At 48.1% G+C, this 24055-nt stretch overlaps 3 protein-coding genes across 8 annotated transcripts, besides 3 other annotated features; all 3 read left to right on the forward strand.

Annotated features, from left to right (window-relative positions):
• CENPS (centromere protein S) lies at positions 1742-14117 on the forward strand. Of its 2 annotated transcripts, none has more exons than NM_199294.3 (5): positions 1742-1877; positions 5151-5274; positions 5966-5999; positions 11656-11722; positions 13574-14117. In NM_199294.3, exons 1-5 carry the CDS (start codon positions 1827-1829, stop codon positions 13712-13714), a joined length of 417 nt encoding a protein of 138 aa, NP_954988.1. In that variant the 5' UTR covers positions 1742-1826; the 3' UTR covers positions 13715-14117. The 2 variants fall into 2 exon arrangements, 1 of the variants encoding a protein (NP_954988.1); NR_036462.2 differs by lacking the exon at positions 1742-1877 and adding an exon at positions 2059-2710.
• Positions 1742-23462, forward strand: CENPS-CORT (CENPS-CORT readthrough). 5 transcript variants are annotated; one of them, NM_001270517.2, is made up of 6 exons: positions 1742-1877; positions 5151-5274; positions 5966-5999; positions 11656-11722; positions 13574-13750; positions 22686-23462. In NM_001270517.2, exons 1-5 carry the CDS (start codon positions 1827-1829, stop codon positions 13712-13714), a joined length of 417 nt encoding a protein of 138 aa, NP_001257446.1. In that variant the 5' UTR covers positions 1742-1826; the 3' UTR covers positions 13715-13750; positions 22686-23462. The 5 variants fall into 5 exon arrangements, 4 of the variants coding, with proteins under 4 accessions (NP_001257446.1, NP_940946.1, NP_950171.2 ...); NM_198544.4 differs by lacking the exon at positions 13574-13750; NM_199006.3 differs by lacking the exons at positions 11656-11722; positions 13574-13750.
• Positions 1840-2089: a silencer, noted in NCBI's record as "silent region_246". NCBI's record gives its function as "represses an Ori minimal core promoter by ATAC-STARR-seq in GM12878 lymphoblastoid cells {active_cell/tissue: GM12878}" and the evidence as "EXISTENCE:reporter gene assay evidence [ECO:0000049][PMID:35858748]".
• Positions 2340-2389: an enhancer, noted in NCBI's record as "active region_148". NCBI's record gives its function as "activates an Ori minimal core promoter by ATAC-STARR-seq in GM12878 lymphoblastoid cells {active_cell/tissue: GM12878}" and the evidence as "EXISTENCE:reporter gene assay evidence [ECO:0000049][PMID:35858748]".
• Positions 4465-5045: an enhancer, noted in NCBI's record as "H3K4me1 hESC enhancer chr1:10493213-10493793 (GRCh37/hg19 assembly coordinates)". NCBI's record gives its function as "activates a minimal SCP1, AML or CMV promoter by ChIP-STARR-seq in primed H9 embryonic stem cells {active_cell/tissue: H9 hESC(primed)}" and the evidence as "EXISTENCE:reporter gene assay evidence [ECO:0000049][PMID:30033119]".
• CORT (cortistatin) lies at positions 21340-23307 on the forward strand. The gene is made up of 2 exons (NM_001302.5): positions 21340-21631; positions 22686-23307. The coding sequence occupies exons 1-2, from the start codon at positions 21533-21535 to the stop codon at positions 22902-22904; spliced, it is 318 nt and encodes a 105-aa protein (NP_001293.3). The 5' UTR covers positions 21340-21532; the 3' UTR covers positions 22905-23307.
• Positions 23463-24055: the final 593 nt, after the last annotated feature.

The following is a 24055-nucleotide window of genomic DNA, read 5'->3' on the forward strand; positions in this document are numbered from 1 at the left end:
GGTAGAGACAGGGTTTCATCATGTTGGCCAGGCTGGTCTTGAACTCCTCACCTCAAGTGATCTACCTGCCTCGGCCTCCCAAAGTGCAGGAATTACAGGTATGAGCCACTGCTCCTAGCCTCTGAGGCTCTTAAGTGCCTCTGTATTGCACACATGTCACTGGAATACTGTTCTTTAATCCTGGGAAGCAACTGCTTTAAAATGAGGGAACACACAGGTACAAAGCACAGGAACTTCCTGGGACGAATTGTTACAATTTCTTTAGCTCTTATGTGAGGCAATTGTTTAAAACCTGACACCTGCCCTGTGAAGTTGGAACTACTGTCCCCAGTTGATAAATAAGGGACATGAAGCTTGGCCACGTCCTGTGACTTGCTTGGGGTCACCAGGCTCAAGGGAGGGAGCTGGGCTTTGCAGCCACAGTGTGCTCTAAATGGGGCTGCTCACCAACCAGCGACCGGCCTTCTCTCCTGCTGCAGGCTTGGTCTCACTCTGGATGGCCTGCCCTGCCCAGCCCCATGCTGCCCATTAGGGGAATCCGTCAGAGGCTTGCCCTGCTTGGGCAGGAGGACTGTCCAGGTAGACTGGGATGCCCACAGAGAGCAGTGGACAGAGGCGAGAAGTGCCTGTCATTTCCAGATGCCACCCACTGAGCAGATGCAGAGGAAAGTCCTCAGAAGGCTGATTCCTCCAAAAAGCTTTGATCTGGGTTTCAGCCCCTGGCAAGCTTAGGGAACTTGAGGGACGTCCCTGGGAAAGGAAGACAAGGAGTGGCTTTATGTGCTTTCCTTCGTTCTGAAAGTAGCACCTGCTTGTGACAAATGCAGAATACAGAAATATAGGCAATAAAAAATAATAAAACAAAAACCTAGAAATACAGGCAGGGCATGGTGGCTCACACCTGTAATTCCAGCACTTTGGGAGGCTGAGGTGGGATGATTGTTTGAAGCCAGGAGTTTGATACCAGCCTGGGCAACATAGTGAGACCTGGTCTCTACAAAAAATAAAAATTAGCCAGGTGCGCTGATGCAGGCTTGTGGTCCCAGCTACTTGGGAGGCTGAAGTGGGAGGATCACCTGAGCCCAGGAGGTGGAGGTTACAGTGAGTCTTGGTGGTGCCACTGCACTCCAGCCTGGGCGGCAGAGTGAGACCCTGCCTCTCAAAAAACTACAATAAAAACAAACCAAAATTGGGTTTGATGGTCTCACTTCATCGTTAACATAAAGGAAAAACAGTAACACTTGTGTCAGAACTATACTCCTGCCAATGGCAACAACGCAGTTCCTGTTCCACTCGCTGAATGAGGTCACGGGTCGTTCACTCATTGTAGTCTTTGTGACGCTATTGTTGGTGATAGAATGATAAAGTTGATGGTCGATTTTGCAAGATACACCTGAGGTACAGGTGCATGGAGCTCCTGATAATGTGTACTGCGTTACATGATCTGTAAATCGTGGGCTACGCATCCTCTACACCCGACTGGAACACGCTTTGCACCTATGCGCACACGTGTTTCGCGGAGAGTGGTGCTCAGCGTTGTGCCAGGCGCTGAATCAGGCTCTGGGGTGCAGCAGTGACCTCGGTGGTCATGTCCCCGCGTCGCCCGGCCACCTCCGCAGAGCAAGCTGAGCAGGGGGCTGGCTGGAGGCCGACGGCGGAATCCCCTCAACGGAGCGCCGCCAGGGGGCGCGCGAGGCAGGGCGGAGCTGCGTACTTTGTCCGCCCGCGCGGCCCGTCGCTCGCGCCGCGGCGGGAAAATCCGACCTGGCCGCGCACCACCGCCCCTTCTCGGCCCTCCTGCGTTTGCCCAGGGTCGGCCCGCAGTGATGGAGGAGGAGGCGGAGACCGAGGAGCAGCAGCGATTCTCTTACCAACAGGTACAGGAAAACGGGGGTCGGGCTGGGCTGGGGCAGGACGGCGTCGAGTTTCTGGACAGAAAAGTACCCGGCAGCCCCCGGCGGCTTCTCATCGGCACCCCGCCCCCGGGCGCCCCCCGCGGCTGCGCATGCGTTGGCTTAACTGCCGCGGGTGGTGCTGGGAGGCGGTTTCCGCGGCAACGCGGCTGGACCCTGGCCTGCGCTGGCTGGGGAGGAAGCGGTTCTAGGGGAGCGTGCGGGCGCCGGGGTCCGGCGGCGAGAGGCCACCTTCTGGCCTTGCGATGAATCCTCGGTTTCCCCTTCTCAGATGGGGTTTTCGTGAGGGTACAACGTCGGCATTAGACATTCCAGGTGACGCCCGTACGCGGTGGGCGGTTCGGGCCGGAGCTCTGGAACGCTGGCCCTGGAGGCGTCGACCCCTCGTTACTGATGCAGGGACGCGGTGCGGACCAGTCAGGCCCAGAGCTCGTCCTTAGATGTGGGTTCGAATCTCTGCCCCGCCAACTTGTGATCGTATCGACTCGGCCCAGACGCAATTTTCTTCTCTGCAAAATCGTCATAAGAATAATCACTTGTCAGGGTAGCTGCGGGCATCCCATTCGTTCCTTTCATCAGCGCCGGGCATATGGGGCGTCAGAGGCTGAGAACGTTGCCGTGAAGAGGCTTAAAAGCAAGACCCGGAGTGGCGACCTTAAAGAGGACGGACTGAAGAAACGCGGGAATGAGCTCCAGACGCGGGAGTTTCCTCTCTACAAAGTTACACTGCAGCAGCTGTCTACCCTGCCCCTTGTCTTTTGAGAAGTTCAAACCTTCAGAAAAGTTGCAAGAACACGGTACAGAATGCCCAGATGCCCGTCACCTTGATTCACCACTAGTTAGCATTTTGCTCTGTTTGCTCCCATGCTTCCCTCCCAGCCCCGCGATTGGAGAATTAATTGCAGATATTTTGACACTTCGCCTTTACATTTTAATTCTTTAGTACACATCTCCCAAAAACAAGGCATTGGCTGGGCGCGGTGGCTCACGCCTGTAATTCCAGCACTTTGGGAGGCCGAGGTGGGCAGATCACTTGAGGTCAGGAGTTCGAGACCAGACTGGCCAACATGGAAACCCCCTCTCAACTAAAAGTACAAAAATTAGCCGAGTGTGGTGGCAGGTGCCTGTAATCCCAGCTACTCGGGACGTTGAGGCAGGGGAATCGCTTGAACCCGGGAGGCGGAGGTTGCAGTGAGCCGAGATCGCACCATTGCACTCCAGCCTGGGTGACAGAGCGAGACTCCATCTCAGAAAAAAAAAAAAAAAAGGCATTCTCCTACTACATCATTTCAATAAATTGTCCCACTCAGGAAGTGGGACAATTAATTTTGATAAAACTCTATTGAATGTGCATTGTCAAGTGCCCCCACTTGTCCTAAAGATGTTTCTTTTAACTGTCTTTTTTCCTTCATCCAGGATTCAGTTAAGGATGGTGCATTGCATTTAGTCATCTTTGGTCCTGCCTACCCTGTTTTTTTTTGGTTGGTTTTTGTTTTTTTTGAAACGTAGTTTCACTCTTGTTGTCCAGGCTGGAGTGCAGTGGCTCCATCTCGCCTCACTGCAACCTCCACCTCCCAGGTTCAGGAGATTCTCCTGCCTCAGCCTCCTGAGCAGCTGGGATTACAGGCCCCTGCCACCACGCCCAGCTAATTTTGTATGTTTAGTAGAGACAGTTTCACCATGTTGGCCAGGCTGGTTTTGAACTCCTGACCTCAAGTGATCTGCCCGCCTTGGCCTCCTAAAATGCTGAGATTACAGGTGTGAACCACTGTGCCCGGCCTGTTCTTAGTCCCTAGAACAGAGCCTGGCTCTCAATAGACCAACAAATGCTTACTGATGAAGCTGCAAAGATGGGCTGAGAAATTTGCCCCTCAGCTGTGATTAGCTTGTAGACGATTTCCCCCCATTCATGTAACCAACTGTTCTAGGCACTTGGTAGGCAGCAGTGAACAAAATTGACAGGGTCCTGCCCTTGAGGAGTTTAGTGATTTAGCCTCTAAGTGCAGTGATACCCCAGCCCAGCCAGGGGGAGGGGAGGAGGAGGAGGAGGAAGATCTGAGAAAAATTCCTGGAGCCAAGAGCATTCAGAAGAATTCATGTCCTGTACCCTGACCCCCACCCATACCTAAAAAAGATGACCTTGAGCCGGGCAGGGTGTTGTGGGCCTGTAGTCCCAGCTACTCAAGAGGCTGAGGCAGGAGGTTCACTTGAGCCCAGGAGTTCGAGGCTGTAGTGTGCAGTGATCACACCTGTGATCTTCGTGCCTCCCAGGTTGATGCCTCTTTGGCTTCTCCTACCAGAGGCCTCAGCTTACCTAGTCTTGTGAGGTCTGAAATTCAGGAAAGTAGATGCCCTCCTCATCTGTCTGGCCTCTATCCTGAGTTCCTGGACTTGGGTTTTGGCAGTTCCTCCTCCTCTTGCCTATGCGTTGAACACTTGCTGGTAGATTTTATGCCCTTGTGGGTTCAGCTGTCATCACGTGCAGCTCAGCTGTGTCTTCGGCCCCGAGGCGGAGTACCCACAGGTGGGCTCAACAGAACTCTGTCGACACGTGGCTGAGACCATTGCTTAGCTTGTCTTGCAATTGAGGCTCATCCTCCCCTCTCGGTAATTTTCTGCAAGGGGTGGAGAGATCTTTTTCAGTATTGAAAAGGTTTGCCAAGGAGCAGTGAGGGCCCCGTGGAGGTGGCCTCCCAACCCTCCAAATCGAGAGGGGTGGGTGTGCCCTCTTGAGCCTTTCCCGTGTTGTACTTCTGTCCTCTGTGACGTGCAGGCCTGGGGCTGCCAGGGGCTTGCAGCAGAGGGATGGGATCCTTCTGTATTGTTGATTAACTGCCTTAAGGGCAAAGTTCCCTGCCCGGTTTTTCATTGTTTCCCAAACACCTAGCATATGCCCTTACTGAGTTGGAGCTCTGCAGATAGTTTGGAATAAGTGAGTGAAACCACTCAGGGCCTTGGCAGGCATCAGTCTGACCTGTCTCCCCACTGACTTGCCATCTAATTTCTTATCTTTACCTGACATAAATCATAACCATTAACAAGGAAGTAATGTTTCCACAAGTCGCACTCCAGTGGGTCTCATTAACTTATTAGTACACTTGAAAAGCCACTCAGCCATTATGGAAAGCGCCAGAGGGATTGGGCTGAGCAGACCCTCTCCTTGGTCTTCATTTTTTAAGGCGTGAAAAGCTCTTATTTGCAGCCTTACCCGTGAAATATTTTGATGTTTTTCCCCAGAGGCTAAAGGCAGCAGTTCACTATACTGTGGGTTGTCTTTGCGAGGAAGTTGCATTGGACAAAGAGATGCAGTTCAGCAAACAGACCATTGCGGCCATTTCGGAGCTGACTTTCCGACAGTGTGGTATGAAGCTTCGGCCTCCCCAGCCATGTCTGTAAACCCCAAAGGTTGATTTCACCTGGGAGCAGTGCGTGGGTGGGAGCTGTGGCGAGTCTGACCAGCAGACCAAGAATATTATCATCCTCATGCGTTCTTCGTGAAACACTTCTCTTCTTGGCTGTGAGATGTGGATATTTTATGGGAAGAACTATTTTTTTCCTATTACACTAACACTGGGGCATTAACGCCTTTATTTTATTGTTTTAAACTGCCCTGATGGCTAGAACATTAGACATTAAATTCTTTATTTCAGTGCTTTATAACGTTTTTATATCACCCATAGTTTCTTTGACAGCTGAGCTTGTAGCATTGGTATTTGCTTGACTTCAGAGGGGAAATGAAAGACCTCACAAGCCTTAACTGTAGCAGAAGTTAAAGGATAGTTTCTAGAAACCAAAGGCATAGTCACAATTAACGGAAGACTTGCCATGAAGGGTGAAGGGCTCTGGGAAGGACAAGGAGATCGTCATGAATAAAAAGCTACAGGCTCTTATGGAATGGTGGGGCTGCTGGAAATGCCTCCTTTCACCTTTAAGAGGGTTTGTTATATTAGTCAAGTCACTGTACTGGCTGTAGAAATCAAGGCTTCACTTTTTCTGCTTCTGAAATTAGATGGGAGGGTGCCTAAAGTGTGTATCTTTTTTTTCTCTTTCAGAAAATTTTGCCAAAGACCTTGAAATGTTTGCAAGGTGGGTAGAGAACTTGATTATCCGACACTGCGTCTGTGTAGCTTTTTGGGGCCTCTCCATCTGGTGGGTTATTTCAGGAGAGCTTTAGCTATTCAGTTTTCCGTGTGTTTTGTGGAGGCTTGTCTCTAATCATGGTTCTGCAAGAACATGACGCCTCCTTCAATCACGGTGATTCACACTTATTTGAACATTTTTTGAAGTTTTCCAAGTATTTTTTGTTAAAGAACCCAAGTTATTCAGTCCCAAGTGAAAAAGGTGTGAATACCATCTCCAGGACCCTGAATGCTGGTGCCTGTATTAAAAACCATGTCTTCGGGTGGTTTGATTGCTCAGGGTTTGAGAACATGGTGCCTGGGGGTGGCCGCCCCTCTGCGGAGGGAGCTGCAGCGTGTCCACGGTGGTAATTGCTTGCAGGTGTACACAGAATGGCAGGCAGGGGTTTTCATTTGCCGCATTTGTTCCGAGTAAGACGCACTCCTTGGAAAGTGGGTGACTTGCTTTCAGCTGCTAAAGCCTCAGCTTTTACAGGTGATTTATGCTCCGCTCTTCAATTAGTACCGCAGGTAATTGAAAACAATTGCACCAAATTGCTTTTATGAAGCAATTTGAATGACGAAGGCCTGAAAGGGCGAAAGTGTTCTAATTTGCTGCCACTTGGATTCGGTGCCAGCCTCTCCCACACCCCTTACTTTTCACCTTGTTCCCGTTAGCTCTTTGTTTCTCGGGTGCGTGTTTTGAATGAATTAAAGCAGTGGGTTCTCGGAGGGCAAGCTCTCAATCTGTCCTATTCCTGTGGATATTCGTCCCTGAAAACCGCTTAGCATCTTCAGCTTGGCCAAAAGGGATAAGGTAGTAGGAAGGGATACCGATAGCTCATGTGGCTTAGTCATTGCTGATTCAGGCAGATGCCCCTTATGTGTGGCCCTCCTCCCCGGTGAAAGATATTAATACCTTTACTTGTTATTTATTAGCTGTGGGAAAAAAAAATGAAAAATTTAAATACTTAAAAATAATATATATATATATACACACACACACACACACACATATACATAAATATTTATATTAGAGACACAGCGTCTTGGTATGTTGCCCAGGCTGGTCTTGAACTCCTGTGCTCAAGCAATCCTGCCTTGGGCTCCCAAAGTGCTGGGATTACAGGTGTGAGCCACCATGCCCAGCCTGAAAATACTTCTGTAAAAATTCTATTTAAAAAATGAAATTAGAAAGAGCATGGTAACACATTAGGCTTTCGGATATTCTGTGTTTTTTAAAGTATATAAGAGGTTGATTTTTTTTTTTTTTTGGAGACAGAGTCTCACTCTCGCCCAGGCGGGAGTGCAGTGGTGCAATCTTGGCTCACTGCAATCTCTGCCTCCTGGGTTCAAGTGATTCTCCTGCCTCAGCCTCCTGAGTAGCTGGGATTACAGGCATGTACCACCACATCTGGCTAATTTTTGTATTTTTAGTAGAGATGGCGTTTCACCATGTTGGCCAGGGCGGTCTTGAACTCCTGACCTCAAGTGATTTGCCTGCCTCAGTCTCCCAAAGTGCTAGGATTACAGGCGTTGAGCCACCGCGCCCGGCAAACAGTTGATTTTCTTTTGCTGGGTACTGGTGGGGAAAGGGGTATGTGCGTGCATGTGAGTGTGTGTGTGTATGTGTGTGTGACTTAGACCATAAGCTCCACAAGGAAGGGCGACATCTTTTATGTAAAAGTGTTTGTGGAGGCCGGGCGCCGTGGCTCACGCCTGTAATCCTAGCACTTTGGGAGGCTGAGGCGGGTGGATCACCTGAGCTCAGGAGTTCGAGACCAGCCTGGGCAACAGGGTGAAACCCTGTCTCCTAAAATACAAAAAAAAAAAATTAGCTGGGCGTGGCAGCATGCGCCTGTAATCTCAGCTACTCAAAAGGTTGAGGCAGGAGAATTGCTTGAACCAGGGAGGTGGAGGTTGCAGTGAGTCGAGATCGTGCCCCTTCACTCCAGCCTGGGTGACAGAGTGAGACTCTGTCTCTTTAAAAAAAAAAAAAGAAAAGAAAAGAAAAAAAAAAGTTTGTGGAAACGCTTTGTCTGAGAACTGAGTGAGTGCAGAGTCCAGTGATGAGGCTCCAGGAGTCTGGGGTGCAGCCAGAGGCAGGGAAGCACCCCCTCTTCTTAGCACAACCCACAAGTACAGGTTTCCTTTGAAGACTCATCTTGTGTGAATTCCAGTTTGCTTTCATACAAAAAAGCATTGTTTTATCCCTGAATAAAATTGATATTCCTGGAAGGTCAGCTTTGGTTATCTTGTGGATTTGAGTTGTCCCTGTCACACTTCTCTACTCCCAAGACTATCATTACCCCAGTTTGAGAAAGATGGACTGTTTCAAGTCAACTATATGTTACATAGTCTCTGTAGGCTGGCCTGGGAACCTAATGAGTATTCGTAACATTGTTTCATTAGGACAAATTTATTTTCTTGTTTCTTGTTTCTTTTTTTTTCTTGAGACAGGATCTCTCTGTTACCCAGGCTGGAGTGCAGTGGCAGGATCATAGCTCACTGCAACCTAGAGCTCCTGGGCTCAAGTGATCCTCCCACCTTGGCCTCCCAGAGTGTTGGTATTACAGGCATGAGCTGAGCCACTGTGCCTGGCATCTTTTTTCTTTTTGGTGAGCTTGTTATGAGAAATTTCTATGAGAATACACATTTAGATTCTTATTTCTTATTTCTTTTTTTTTTTTTGGAGCAGGAGGGAAACTTGAGAGCAGGGGCTGTTTTTTTTTTGTTTTTTGTTTTTTGTTTTTAGATGGAGTCTCACTCTGTCGCCCAGGCTGGATTGCCATGGCGCGATCTCAACTCACCGCAACCTTTGCCTCCTGGGTTCAAGTGATTCTCCAGCCTCAGCCTCCCAAGTAGCTGGGATTACAGGCGCCTGCCACTATGCCCAGCTAATTTTTGTGTTTTTAGTAAAGACGGGGTTTCACCATGTTGGCCAGGTTGGTCTCAAACTTATGACCTCAGGTGATCCACCCACCTCGGCCAGCCAAAGTGCTAAGATTACTGGCATGAGCCACTGTGCCTGGCCAATTTTTTTTTTTTTTTTTTTTTTTTGAGACAGAGTCTCTCTGTCGCCCAGGCTGGAGAGCAGCAGCTCAATCTCGGCTCACTGCAGCTTCTGCCTTGCGGATTCAAGTGATTCTCCTGCCTCAGCCTCCCGAGTAGCTGGGACTACAGGCAAATGCCACCACACCCACTAATTTTTGTGGTTTTAATAGAGATGGGGTTTCACCATGTTGGCCAGGCTTGTCTCAAGCTCCTGACCTCAGGTGATCCGCCTGCCTCGGCCTCCCAAAGTGCTGGGATTACAGGTGTGATCCACCATGCCTGGCCAGAGAATACACAATTAAATTCTAAATAATCAATTCACTAGCAGACTTTGGAAAGCAACTGCCAATCTGAATTTTTGTTTTGTTTTGTTTTGTTTGTTTTTTGAGACGGAGTCTCACTCTGTCACCCAGGCTGGAGTGCAGTGGTGTGATCTCGGCTCACTGCAGTCTCCGTCTCCTGGGTTCAAGCGATTCGCCTTTCTCAGCCTCCCAAGTAGCTGGGATTACAGGTGCCCACCACCATGCCCGGGTAATTTTTGTCGTTGTAGTAGAGACAGGGTTTCACTGTGTTGGCCAGTCTGGCCTCGAACTCCTGACCTCAAATGATCCACCCACCTCGGCCTCCCAAAGTCCTGGGATTATAGACATGAGCCGCCACACCTGGCCTGAGTTGTGAATTTCTTTATTTAGCTTTGAAATCTCTAGTCTCCTAGTATTGTTAACAATCAAACATTTTGAAGAAGATAGATATTCTATAGGAAATACATTCTGGAAACTTTTGGGAATCGTCTTTAAAGCCCGTGTTACAAAGCGTGTTATATGAAAAATTGCTTTTGATTTTCCCTAGCTAGAGTAATTTTCTGGAGTTGGAGGTTTGACTTAGGAGAGTCTGTGATATGCAGTGGCGGGCAGAGGATGCCCTGCCCCTCCATTGAGGGCCTTAGTGCAGAGATAGCAGAGGCCAAGCTGAAGTGGTGGAGAGGACTGAGATCGTTGTTTCCTAAACGCTTTCTCGTAAACAGATAAGTTCACTATGTAAACAGTTCATTGTGCTTATTCCTTTTACTGTACTTTAAGAAGAATGTAAATACAGACAGAGCAGCCTGGTTGTGAGGTTGAGACTAGGCCACCCTGTCCATGTGCACTTAACATTCTCCACCCAGAACGTCTGTGGACTGACCTCATTCTTTGTGGCTGCTTTTATGTCACCTCTGTCTTTTTTCTCCCCTGTGTCCTGGTCCTTGCAGGTTGCTAATTAGAAAATTATCTCTTGAAGTGGGTATTAATGTCATGACAAGCAGATATTGTCAATCACGATGAGATGACACGTGATATTTGTCTATTTAGCAGAATGTAAAGGATTAATTTGGCCAAATTATGGAGAATAATTTCTGTGTTGAATTTATCTTTTAACTTAGCAGTTGTTCAGTGAGGACTCACCATGTGTGCTGGCCAGTTTGCTAGTTATTAAGGATGCAAAGATTCCTATTTATTCCTGCTTACAAAGTACCTGTGTATTTTGTGGGGAAGTTAGAAATGGAAGAAGGGTGTAATCAGAGTAATATATTATTGAATCGAGCTTATTATCTCAAATTACCTTTCCTAGCAAAGATAAAAGGACTAGAATGAGAATTTGAGTCCAACTTGTGAGCAAGAAGCAGACTCCAGTTTAAAGGGTGTTCTTTGTGGCTGGGCTTGGTGGCTCACGCCTGTAATCCCAGCACTTTGGGAGGCAGCTGGATCATGAGGTGAGGAGTTCAAGACCAGCCTGGCCAAGATGGTGAAATCCTGTCTCTACTAAAAATACAAAAAAATTAGTGGGGCATGGTGGCGGGCGCCTGTAATCCCAGCTACACAGAAGGCTGAGGCAGAGAATTGCTTTAACCCGGGAGGCGGAGGTTGCAGTGAGCCAAGATCGTGCCACTGCCCTCCAGTCTGGGCGACAGAACGAGACTCTGTCTCAAAAAAAAAAAGAAGAAAGAAGGATGTTCTTTGTTCTACCTGGGTTATTGCGGAGGGAATGCATTAACTACTTGTTGGGAATGGGGCCTTAGGAGGTGCCTGCATATGCTTTTTCCTGTTAAGTTAGCCCTTGGAGAACATCAGGATCTTGACCTAAGTAAAGCCATCCTTTGTGGAGGTTCTCTTTGTTCTTCTATTTAATGTCTATTTAAGCAGGTGCCCTCTGTATCATGAGGCCCATTTTCTCTGCACTAGAGTTGTACACTGACCTTCTTGATTTTTCTGTGGCCTTAGCTGTGGCCAAGCAAGCCAGGTTTGGAAGGGCGCTAAGCCCCCAGCCTCCTGTCTGTGCTCTTATGCTTCGGGTACCCTTGGCCCTAAGCGGAGGTGGAGAGATGGGCCTCCGCATTCTCCATCTCTTTACTTAATTGGGGTCTTAGGAACTTCACTAATTTTTGTGTCACTTTTGCTTAATGCCCTTTATCTAAAAGGATGGGCTACTTAGAGATCCCTGCTAGTTTGAAGTCTGACCGTGAACTTCTGTGTTTCATCAAAACTTTAAATAATACCAAACATTTTGGTGACTTGCTTCTGCCCTTTCTGCAGACATGCGAAAAGAACCACAATTAACACTGAAGATGTGAAGCTCTTAGCCAGGAGGAGTAATTCACTGGTGAGAGATGAATTTCTTTCCTCACTCCCCTTTCCCATCGGAATACATTATTCCCAATCAATCACTTGAAGCCATGAAGTTATTCCCCAGGGCACCTTGCATTAGAAACTAGAGGTGGCTGAACCATTCAGACCTGCCTGTAATTTACAGTCTTGCTTTCATTATGATGGATCTTGCTAAGCCAATTTGAAATTTTCTAATCAGCACTCTCTGGATTTTACAATTTGCCTGTTTTTGTAATACCTCAAAACTTTGGTCCCATGTTTCATTTACAACATGATGTCAGAGACTGGTCACAGGCCAATCTGCAGGGATAGTTTTGTTATTGTATTCACAGTTCTCCGAATAGGCCAGGTATGGACGGAGTTTCCGTATGGCTGGATATGCAGGAAAACACATTTTCCATATTTTCAAGTCTAGAAATCATTTGACCAAGCCTCCGTTGTTCAGGTGAAGACCCAGAGATACTCTGGTCATCCCAGGCTAGTGGCTTTGGCCAGTAGCAGAGCCAGGACAGCGGGGAGCTTTCCTGACTGAGTGTAATGCTAGACATTAAAGCACGTGATGGCTGTGATAGAATGTGGGCCCCACAAGAGCAGGGGCTTTTGTCTCTTTGTTCTCTCTCCATCTGTGTTGCCTAGAACGCACCTGTGTGCCTGGCACACAGGAAGGGCTCAATAAATAGTTGTTGAGTGAATGAATTTGTATAGCAGTTTACAGGGGCTTTTCCAGATACTATTTTACGTATATTATTTAATGCTCACAACTTTTTTTTTCTTTTTTTAAATTTTGGACATGCAGTCTCTCTCTGTTGCCCAGGCTGGTCTTGAACTCCTGGGCTCAGGCAGTCCTCCCGCCTTGGTTTCCCTATATGCCAGGATTACAGGCATGTGCCACAACTTTTTTTTTTTTTTTTTTTTTTTGACGGGGTCTCACTTTGTCACCCAGGCTGAGGGCAGTGGCGCATCATTGCTCACTGCAGTCCCCGTCTCCTGGGCTCCAGTGATACTTTCACCTTAGCCTCTCAAGTAGCTGGGACTACAGGTGCATGCCACCACACCCGGCTATTTTTGTATGTTTTGTAGAGACGGGGTTTCACCATATTGCCTGGGCTGGTCTCAAACTCCTGGGCTCAAATGATCTGCTTGCCCTGGACTCCCAAAGTGCTGGGATTCCAGGCATGAGCCACCGCACCTGGCTACAACTCTTTTTTTTTTTTTTTTTTTTTTTGAGATGGAGTCTCTCTCTGTGGCCCAGGCTGGAGTGCAGTGGCGTGATCTCGGCTCACTGCAAACTCCGCCTCCTGGGTTCATGCCATTCTCCTGCCTCAGCCTCCCGAGTAGCTGGGCCTACAGGCACCCACCACCACACCTGGCTAATTTTTTGTATTTTTAGTAGAGACGGGGTTTCACCGTGTTAGCCAGGATGGTCTCGATCTCCTGAGCTCGTGATCTGTCTGCCTCAGCCTCCCAAAGTGCTGGGATTACAGGCGTGAGCCACCGCACCCGACCTCTGGCCACAACTCTTAATAACACAACTTATTGGCTAGGTGTAGTGGCTCATGCCAATAATCCCAGAACTTTGGGAGGCCAAGGCAGGATGGCTTGAGCCCAGGAGTTTGAGACCAGCCTGCCCACATAGTGAGACCCTCATATCTACAAAAAATTTAAAAAAAAAGAAAAAAAAAATTGAAGCTGCGTTTAATTCTTAGAAATGTAACCCAGGCTTTGGCTTTTCTACCCAAATTCTTTGAGTCAGAGGTGGTTGTGGAGGGTTTAGTTTCGTTTGTTTGTTTATTTAGGTTTATAAAATGGTTACAGCCAGATATAAATACAGATTTTTTTTTTATAGCTAAAATACATCACAGACAAAAGTGAAGAGATTGCTCAGATTAACCTAGAACGAAAAGCACAGAAGAAAAAGAAGTCAGAGGATGGAAGCAAAAATTCAAGGCAGCCAGCAGAGGCTGGAGTGGTGGAAAGTGAGAATTAAAGTCCCTCGCCGCTTGGAAAGTGCAGCCTTCTACAGGTAGAGCCACCTAGAAATGCATATGGCTGCAAAGGAAACTTTGAAGGGTTAAATAGAGATTTAAAAAAATAAAATAAAAAGGCTGGGCTAGGGTGCTTTTTGTGCTGAATTCTCCACATTGTTAACTGCCAAAGCTAGTTTTAGAGAATGAGAAAGTCTTAAGCAAAATACTCCCAGGTCTCACTCCAGAACATAAAAATGGTGTGTGATCAAATGGTATATATTAGAAATTACATCTGTTGTAATTAAAATTGTGTGAGCAATTAAACATGGTTGACTTTTTCAAGCAAAAATCAGTTCATCTTTTGATGTAATTTTCTAGGCTAAATGGCAATCTCTGAAAGATGAATAAAGCTATATTTATTTAGCTTTTCTGGTTACTAATGTTGTTTTTAAACACATGCCGCCTTTGGTCACCAGGTAAAAGGGCATATGTTTGGGAATGGCCCTTTTGACTTTTTTTTTTTTTTTTTTTTTTTTGAGACGGAGTCTTGCTCTGTCACCCAGGCTGGAGTGCAGTGGCACGATCTCAGCTCACTACAACCTCTGCCTCCCGGGTACAAGCAATTCTCTGTCTCAGCCTCCCGAGTAGCTAAGTTACTGGCACCTGCCACCATGACTGGCTAATTTTTGTAGTTTTAGTAGAGACAGGGTTTCACCATCTTGGCCAGGCTGGTCTTGAACTCCTGACCTCATGATCCACCCACCTTGGCCTCCCAAAGTGCTGGGATTACAGACGTGAGCCACTGCGCCCAGCCTTTTTATTTTTTTATTTATTATTTTTTACTTTTTTGTGTGTGAGACAGAGTCTTGCTCTGTTGCCAGGAGTGCAATGGCGTGATCTCAGCTCACTGCAACCTCCGCCTCCCGGGTTCAAGCGATCTCCTGCCTCAGTTTCCCAAGCAGCTGGGACTACAGGCATGCACCACCATGCCCAGCTAATTTGTGTGTTTGTGCTTTTTTTTTTTTTTTTTTTTTTTTTTGAGACAGAGTCTTGCTCTGTCGCCCAGGCTGGAGTGCAGTGGCGTGATCTTGGCTCACTGCTGCAGCCTCTGCCTCCCGGGTTCAAGCGATTCTCATGCCTCAGCCTCCTGAGTAGCTGGGACTACTGGAGCACGCCACCCCACCTGGCTAATTTTTGTGTTTTTAGTAGAGACGGGGTTTCACTGTGTTGGCCAGGCTGGTCTCAATCTCCTTGACCTTGTGATCCACCCGCCTCGGCCTCCCAAAGTGCTGGGATTACAGACGTGAGCCACTGTGCCCGGCTTTTACTGTTTTTTTTTTTTTTTTTTTTTTTGAGATGGAGTCTCGCTGTGTTGCCCAGGCTGGAGTGCAGTGACGTGATCTCGGCTCGCTGTAACCTCTGCCTCCCAGGTTCAAGCAGTTCTCTGCCTCGGCCCCCTGAGTAGCTGGGATTACAGGTGCCCGCCACCACGCCCAGCTAATTTTTGTAGTTTTAGTAGAGACGGGGTTTCACCAACTTGGCCAGGCTGATCTTGAACGCCTGACCTTGTGATCCACCTGCCTTGGCCTCTCAAAGTACTGGGATTACAGGCATGAGCCACTGCACCCAGCCCAGCCTTTACTTTTTAAAAGTGATTTTCTCTAGGTGACTTTTTTTTTTTTTTTTTTTGAGAGGGAGTCTTGCTCTGCCGCCCATGCTGGGGTGCAGTGGTGTGATCTCAGCTCACTGCAACCTTCGCCTCCTGGGTTGAAGCGATTCTCCTGCCTCAGCCTCCTGAGTAGCTGGGATTACAGGTGTGTGGCACCACGCCCAGCTAATTTTTGTATTTTTAGTAGAGACAGGGTTTCACTATCTTAGCCAGGCTGGACTTGAACATCCTGACCTCAGGCAATCCTCCTGCCTCGGCCTCCCAAAGTGTTGGGATTACAGGCATGAGCCACTGCACCTGGCTGTCTGTGACTTTTCTCTATTTTGCAACAAAGCTATGGTTCTGCTCAGGGAAGTTTTGCCTGAGGGGAAATCTGGGACTGCTAGATCAGAACACTTCGGCATGTCATCCTGTTTTAGTTTGTGAGAGAAAACGCTCCCAAGGGTGCCCGTCCTACTGTCTTCTCATGCCTTTGGATTTCTTAGAGGTCCAGACATGCCTTTCCCTTTACCCTTCGGCAATATGGTGAGGAGAAGGGGCAAGGGTTTGTGGAGCCCTTTCTGTGTGCCAGGCACCCACTGGATACTCCGTGTATTACCCCACCGATCTCCACAACTTGATCGGTGTGGATCTGATTCTCCACCTTCTCCCCATGAGCAAATGGAAATTTGATGAGGTTCACCAGCTGCCCAGGGTCACCCAGCCATAGTCAAGAGACAGTGTTCACATTTGGGGCTGCTCACTGTAGAATGGGTGAGAGAAAACGGCATTCATTTGGAGTAGAATTTACACCACCTGTGCCCAAATATGATCAGCAAAAGATACCCCAAAGCCTGACTCTCAAAGGGAGGCACTAAGCTATGGCCGGAGTAGGGCACCGAGTTCACACTTCATGGTTTCGGATCTGCAAATGGCTCAGCACTTGTTCTTATGTTAATTATAGTATCTGTGTGTCATATCAGTGAATGAAAAGTGAATCATAAAGCCTTCCATCCTAGTACGTTCAGCCAAAGGCCCGTATGTTAGCAGTTTCATTTTTGGATAAGCACTCTTTAAACTCCTTATTGGCCAGGTGCAGTGGCTTGTGTCTGTAGTCCCAGCAACTTGGAAGGCTGAGGCAGGAGATTCACTTGAGTCTGGGAGTTTGAGACCAGCCTGGGCAGCACAGTGAGACCCCATCTCTAAAAAAAGTAAAAAATAAGTTAGGCATGGTGATGCATGCCTGTAGACCCAGTTAGCTACTCAGGAGGCTGAGGCAGACGGTTGCTTGATCCCAGGAGTTCAAGGCTTTAGTGAGGTGACTGTGCTACTGCACTGCAGCCTGGGTGACAGAACAAGACCCCGACTCTAAAAAATAAAATAAATTCGGGAGGCTGAGGCAGGAGAATCGCTTGAACCCAGGAGGCAGAGGCTGCAGTGAGCCGAGATTGTGCCACTGCACTCCAGCCTGGGTGACAGAGTGAGACTAAGTCTCAAAATAAAATAAAATAAAGTAGAATAAAATAGATAAAATAAATAAATAATAAAACTCATCAAGAAGAGTTTAGGGAATAGATACTATAGACTTTCCAAAGGTTGAAAGATCTGGGTTTGCTTCTTGGGTTTGCAACCCTAGTAGCTGTATAACTTTCAGAGACTTTGTGCTTTTTTTTTTTCATTGAGACAGCGTCTCACTCTGTCACCCAGACTAGAGTGCAGTGGCACAATCATGACTCACTACAGCCTCCACCTCCCAGGCTAAAGTGATCCTCCTGCCTCAGCCTCCTGAGTAGCTGGGACTACAGGCATGCGCTACCATGCCTGCCTAATTTTTTAGTTTTTTTTGTGGAGATAGGGTCTCAGAATGTTGCCCAGGCTGGTCTCAAGCTCCTGAGCTGGACTCAAGTGATCCTCCTGCCTCAACCTCCCAAAGTGCTGAGATTATAGGCATGAGTCACTGCACCTGGCCTTTTCTTTTTTCTTTTCTTTTTCGAGATGGGCTCTTGCTGTGTACAGTGGTATATCACAGCTCACTGCAGCCATGAATTCCTGGGCTCAAGCAATCCTCCTGCCTCAGCCTCCCAAGTACCCAAGACTGCAGGTGTGTGTTACCACACCTGGCTAAGTTTTCTTTTCTTTTTGAGACAAGGTCTCACTTTGTCGCCCATGCTGGAGTACAGGGGCTCAATCTTGACTCACTGCAGCCTCTACCTCCCAAGCTCAGGTGATCCTCCTGCCTCAGCCCCCCAAGTAGCTGGGGCCACAGGTGTGTGCCACCATGTCCAGCTAGTTTTTTTTTTTGTTTTTTTTTTTGGTAGAGGTGAGGTTTTGCATGTTGCCCAGGCTAGTCTTGAACTCCTGGGCTCAAGTGATCCTCCTGCCTCAGCCTCCCAAAGTGCTGGGATTATAGGCATGAGTCACTGCACCCGGCCTTTTTTTTTTTTTTTTTTTTTTTGAGATGGGCTCTTGCTATGTCAGCCAGGCTGCAGTACAGTGGCATGATCACAGCTCACTGCAGCCACGAATTCCTGGGTTCAAGCAATCCTCCTGCCTCAGCTTCCCAAGTGCCCGAGACTGTAGGTGTGTGTTGCCACACCTGGCTAAATTTTTTCTTTTTTTTTTTTGTCATAAAGTCTCACTTTGTCACCCATGCTGTAGTGCAGTGGCACAATCTTGGCTCACTGCAGCCTTGACCTCCCATGCTCAGGTGATCCTCCTACCTCAGCCCCCTAAGTAGCTGAGACCACAGGTATGTGCCTCCACGTCCAGCTAATTTCTGTAGAGATGGAGTTTTGCCATGTTGCCCAGGCTGGTCTTGAATTCCTGGGCTCAAGCGAATCTCTCGCCTCAGCCTCCCAAGTAGTCAGGACTGCAGGTGTGCATTGCCATGCCTGGCTAAATTTTTGTTTTTTTTTGGTAGAGATGGGGTCTTGCTATGTTGCCCAGTCTGGTCTTGAACTCCTGGGCTTAAGTGATCCTCTTGTCTCCACCTCCTAAAGTTTGTCACCTTCTTGAAACAGTCATTATCAGTTCTCATGAAGCCTTCCCCAATTTGCAGCACATTCCCCTTTGCACACTTCTTCTCGCACTGAAAAATGTCCTTGTCTTTCATTTGTGTCTATGTATCCGATTTCTTTGAGGCTGCAACACCTCTGTCAGGGTGTGGGTGGTGTGGGTCCCTTGTGGTATTGCAAGTTCCATACTGGGTGCTCAGAATGTTTAATGAGCTCATTGAATAAAATTGGCACACTAGACTAACGATATAGGAAGCTGGTGAGGCCGGGTGTGGTGGTCTCATGCCTGTAATCCCAGCACTTTGGGAGGCTGAGATGGGTGGATCACTTGAGTTCAGAAGTTTGAGACCAGCCTGGCCAACATGGTGAAATCTCTACTAAAAATACAAAAATTAGCTGGGCGTGGTGGCTCCTGCCTGTAATCCCAGCTACTTGGGAGGCTGAGACAGGAGAATCCCTTGAACCTGGGAGGCAGAGGTTGCAGTGAGCTGAAGTTGTGCCACTGCACTCCAGCCTGGGTGACAGAGCAAGACTCCGTCTCAAAAACAAAAAGAAGCTGGCTGAACTGCTGTGAATGTCTCATCTGCAAATATAACTCAAAATTTTTAGTGTCATTTGTGGGAATTATTTTGGTACAGAAATAAAAGATGGGCCAGGTGCGGTGGCTCATGCCTATAATCCCAGCACTTTGGGAGGCCGAGGCGGGCGGATCACGAGGTCAGGAGATCGAGACCATCCTGGCTAACACAGTGAAACCCCATCTCTACTAAAAATACAAAAAAATCAGCCGGGCGTGGTGGTGGGCACCTGTAGTCCCAGCTACTCAGGAGGCTGAGGCAGGAGAATGGTGTGAACCTGGGAGGCGGAGTTTGCAGTGAGCTGAGATCGAGCCACTGCACTCCAGTCTGGGCAACAGAGTGACTCCATCTCAAACAAAAAAAAACAAAAAACAAAATAAATAAAAGATGAAGCAACATACGATGTATAAGCCTCTGGCCAGCAGGCCATGCTGATCTTACCTAGGATTTTAACATAAGCAAAAAGACTGTGACAAATTCAAGATTGAGATTTCCCTGCTGAAGGTGTAAACCAGGACTTTGGAAAACTGAAAACAAACATGTTCACTTCTAGAAAGTGCCGGCAGTTTTGGGTTGCGTTACCTCAATTTATAGCCTTGCCTTGGATGCTGGTCATCTGTAGCAGGTTTGGGTGGATGTTTCAGATTTTACTCGGTGTCTCGTTGGGCAAAGGGGTCTGTGCATTTGTCTGTGTGATTCAGCAATGAGGGCCTGTGAGGAAGAACCAGCAGGTGGCACAGAGAGGGACTCCATGGTCTGCACTCTCAGCAGTGGTGCCAGCCTCAGGAGGAGAGAGAGCCCTGGGAGCTGGCCAAGGGCAGGGCCGGGCACTGCTTCCCAAACTGACTGTGCCCTGCAGTAACAGCACATCTCACACCTGACACACACAATGCGAATCATTATTTATCCTTACTACGGGTGATGCACACTAATTTTAATTTCATTCGAAAGGAAAGTACTGGCCTATGACCCACAAGTGGGTGGTCAGGAGCAGTTTAGAAAACACTGGACCAGGCCGGGCGCGGTGGCTCACGCTTGTAATCCCAGCACTTTGGGAGGCCAAGGCGGGCAGATCATGAGGTCAGGAAATTGAGACCAGCCTGGCTAACATGGTGAAACTCTGTCTCTACTAAAAATACAGAAAATTAGCTGGGCATGGTGGCCAGCGCCTGTAGTCCCAGGTACTTGGAGGCTGAGGCAGGAGAATTGCTTGAACCCGGGAGATGGAGATTGCAGTGAGCCAAGATCATGCCACTGTACTCCAGCGTGGGTGACAGAGCGAGACTCCATCCAAAAACAAAAAGAAAACACTGGTCCAGGCTGGGGGCAGTGGCTCACACCTGTAATTCCAGCACTTTGGGAGGCCGAGGTGGGTGGATCACCTGAGGTCGGGAGTTCGAGACCAGCATGACCAACATGGAGAATCTCCGTCTCTACTAAAAATACAAAATTAGCCAGGCGTGGTGGCACATGCCCGTAATCCCAGCTACTCGAGAGGCTGAGGCAGGAGAATCACTTGAACCCGGGAGCCAGAGGTTGCGGTGAGCCGAGATCACACCATTGCACTCCAGCCTGGGCAACAAGAGCGAGACTCCATCTCAAAAAAAGAAAACACTGGACCATCAAGAGTTCGAGACCAGCCTGGCCAACGTGGTGAAACCCTGTCCCTACAAAAAATACAAAAATTAGCCAGGCATGGTGGCGGGTGCCTGTAATCCCAGCTACTCGGGAGGCTGAGGCAGGAGAATCACTTGAACCCAGGAGGCGGAGGTTGCAGTGAGTTGAGCGCGCCATTGCACCCCAGCCTGGGTGGGCCAGAGCCCGGCTGCCCCAGGGCCAGCAGTGCCTGGGTGCTTGTTGGAAATGCAGCTCTCAACTCCTCCCTGCCCCAGTGCATCAGGACCTGCCTGCAAAGTGATCCGTCTGCACTTCAGTTTGAGAAGGCCTGGCCTAGAGGACAGTGGGTCTGGCATGCTGGGCTGAGAGGCAGTACTGGGAGCGATTCTTGGGGCCTCCTTGCCGACAATTGGGTGAAACCAGCGGATACGATCGTAGCGTCTCTGAGCCCCCATTGCCTCCTTGTTTCTCTGCCCATAGTAGAAGAATGTCTCTGAAATTACTGGATGAGTTTCAGTCATACTTTCACATGGGCACAATTTCACATTCAAGCTCCTTATCCTAGGCTAATTTTATATTATGTTAAATCACTTGTTTTTGTTCTCACGGCTTCCTGCCTGCTATAGGCATAATTACGAGGAAGCAGAACTTCTCCAGAAGCAAGCGCACATGCGTTCCAAAATAAGAGCAAATTCGCTCTAAACACAGGAAAAGACCTGAAGCTTTAATTAAGGGGTTACATCCAACCCCAGAGCGCTTTTGTGGGCACTGATTGCTCCAGCTTCTGCGTCACTGCGCGAGGGAAGAGGGAAGAGGATCCAGGCGTTAGACATGTATAGACACAAAAACAGCTGGAGATTGGGCTTAAAATACCCACCAAGCTCCAAAGAAGAGACCCAAGTCCCCAAAACATTGATTTCAGGGCTGCCAGGAAGGAAGAGCAGCAGCAGGGTGGGAGAGAAGCTCCAGTCAGCCCACAAGATGCCATTGTCCCCCGGCCTCCTGCTGCTGCTGCTCTCCGGGGCCACGGCCACCGCTGCCCTGCCCCTGGAGGGTGGCCCCACCGGCCGAGACAGCGAGGTGAGTACAGTCCCGACGTGGCCACACGCTAGCCCACTCTCTGTCTCTTGTTGGCTTTTTGGCCTGCATGGTGTGTGTGTGTGCACGTGTGTTGCACTTCACAGCTTGGACAGGACACACGGCTCAACTTTGTAGTGTTCTTGGCTGGCCCGAGGTACTGGGATGCCGCATTCAGACCACTGATCCTCAGTTACATGTCCCAACCCATGAAGCCTGCTGGAAACCTGTGCAGCTCAAGGAGGGCCCTCCGTCGGGTGTCTGGGAAAGGGGAAGCGAGTGTACCCGTCCACTGCAGGGCAGGCATGGAGCTGCGACAGCCCTTCCAGAGCCTTCAGTTATACATAGCACAGGCTCCCACTGGCTCAGAGTAATTGGCATCATTACATTTTCCGTTGTGAGAATTTGTAACTTCGTGAGGTGATTGATTGTTCTTTTTTCCATTTTGAGAAAGTTCCAAGAAAGGGTATATAAAGTTGAGCATTAAAAATGGATTTTTCTCTAAAATTACCAGATGAGTTTCAGGCAGGCCATTTATCAGCAGATTACTCCCAGAAGCTTTCTAAGGAATTTGAAAAACCAGAATATAACGTTTGTTTCAGTCCCATCGTCTCAGAAAGCAACTTGTGAACATCCAGGAGTGTGGCCAAAGGTGGGAGAATGAGTAAATTAGCCTGATCCAACTCCGGGCTTCTCAGCTGCCAGTCACTGAGGGGAAAATGGCAGATTTCCCGACCTCTCCTAATTAAGGACCTTAGCAGAGTATGGAGCAAAACCAGGTTTCTTCCCTTGACTTAAAATGACCAACTTTTCTCTAATTAAAGCAATTTCTTTAAGGTATTCTCTTCACTTTCTCATCCTCATCCGTTAAATGGAAATGAGGCTTATCGCTATGGAGCATCTTTTCATTTTAATATTTTCTTTCTCTTTTCTCCAGGGTAGTCTTTTAGATCATTTTTTTTTTTAAGTAAGGAGGAGATTGCATATCTTTGAATGCTTGCTGCCTGAGCCAGATTGCTGAGTTTTCTTTCCTTTGCCATCTGCTTCTCTTTAAAAGCATATGCAGGAAGCGGCAGGAATAAGGAAAAGCAGCCTCCTGACTTTCCTCGCTTGGTGGTTTGAGTGGACCTCCCAGGCCAGTGCCGGGCCCCTCATAGGAGAGGAAGCCCGGGAGGTGGCCAGGCGGCAGGAAGGCGCACCCCCCCAGCAATCTGCGCGCCGGGACAGAATGCCCTGCAGGAACTTCTTCTGGAAGACCTTCTCCTCCTGCAAATAAAACCTCACCCATGAATGCTCACGCAAGTGTAATGACAGACCTGAATAAAATGTATTAAGCAGCAGTGATCTTTCCTCTCCTCCTTCCCAAGTCATTTGAAAAGTGTTTGTTATTTAAATTCCAATAATGCCCAATACTGACGTGTCTTGAGTAATTTGGAACCCAAAGTGAAGATCTTTGATAAAGATTTTTTTGTGGTTCGACTGGACTGTGCTGAGTGCGGGCACTGGGCTTTTCTTCTGATGTTCATTATGGTGCTGGGAAGCTCTGTCTTTGATTTAAAATAAAATAGCTAAAGGCTACACAATTAAGAGTTCAGAATAACATCTTATTTCAGTTTATGAATTGATATGAATTGTCTAATTTAAAAAATATTTCCCTCACATTAAAAGCAAATTTTTAATATCAGGCTCGAAGAGCAAAATGATTATTCCTCATGTTTTAGCTGAAATTAATTTTAAAACATATTAAACAGAAAACCTGCTGACATGCCTGTGAAACTGATACTCGAACTTGCTGTTATGTACCAGTTTTAATTAGTAGCTTAATGGGTTGCAATTCTTTTCATGGATTATAGCTTCAGATTTGCTTTGGGAGGAATGAAGGCTACCCACAGAATTTTTTTTTTTTTGAGACGGAGTCTAGCTGTCACCCAGGCTGGAGTGCTATGGCGCGGTCTCAGCTCACTGCAACTTCCGCCTCCCAGGTTCATGTGATTCTCCTGCCTCAGCCTCCTGAGTAGCTGGGACTACAGCATGCGCTTCCATGCCTGGCTAATTTTTTTTTTTTTTTTTTTAGATGGAGTTTCGCTTTTGTTGCCCAGGCTGGAGTGCTATGGCACGGTCTCAGCTCACTGTGGCTTCCGCCTCCGAGGTTCAAGTGACTCTCCTGCCTCAGCCTCCCAAGTAGCTGGGACTACAGGCACACACCACCACGCCTGGCTAATTTTTGTATTTTTAGTAGAGACGGGGTTTCTCCATGTTGGTCAGGCTGGTCTCGAACTCCTGGCTTCAGGTGATCCACCTGCCTTGGCCTCAGAAAGTGCTGGGATTACCAGCGTGAGCCACTGCGCCTGGCCATGAAGGTTTTTCGATGCTAAACTTCATTGGGAAAACCAGCAAAGGCTGGCTGGAGGACACGGGAATATTCTC

Source organism: Homo sapiens, chromosome 1 (genome assembly GCF_000001405.40).
Source record: "Homo sapiens chromosome 1, GRCh38.p14 Primary Assembly".
In the NCBI taxonomy this organism is placed as follows: domain Eukaryota; kingdom Metazoa; phylum Chordata; class Mammalia; order Primates; family Hominidae; genus Homo; species Homo sapiens.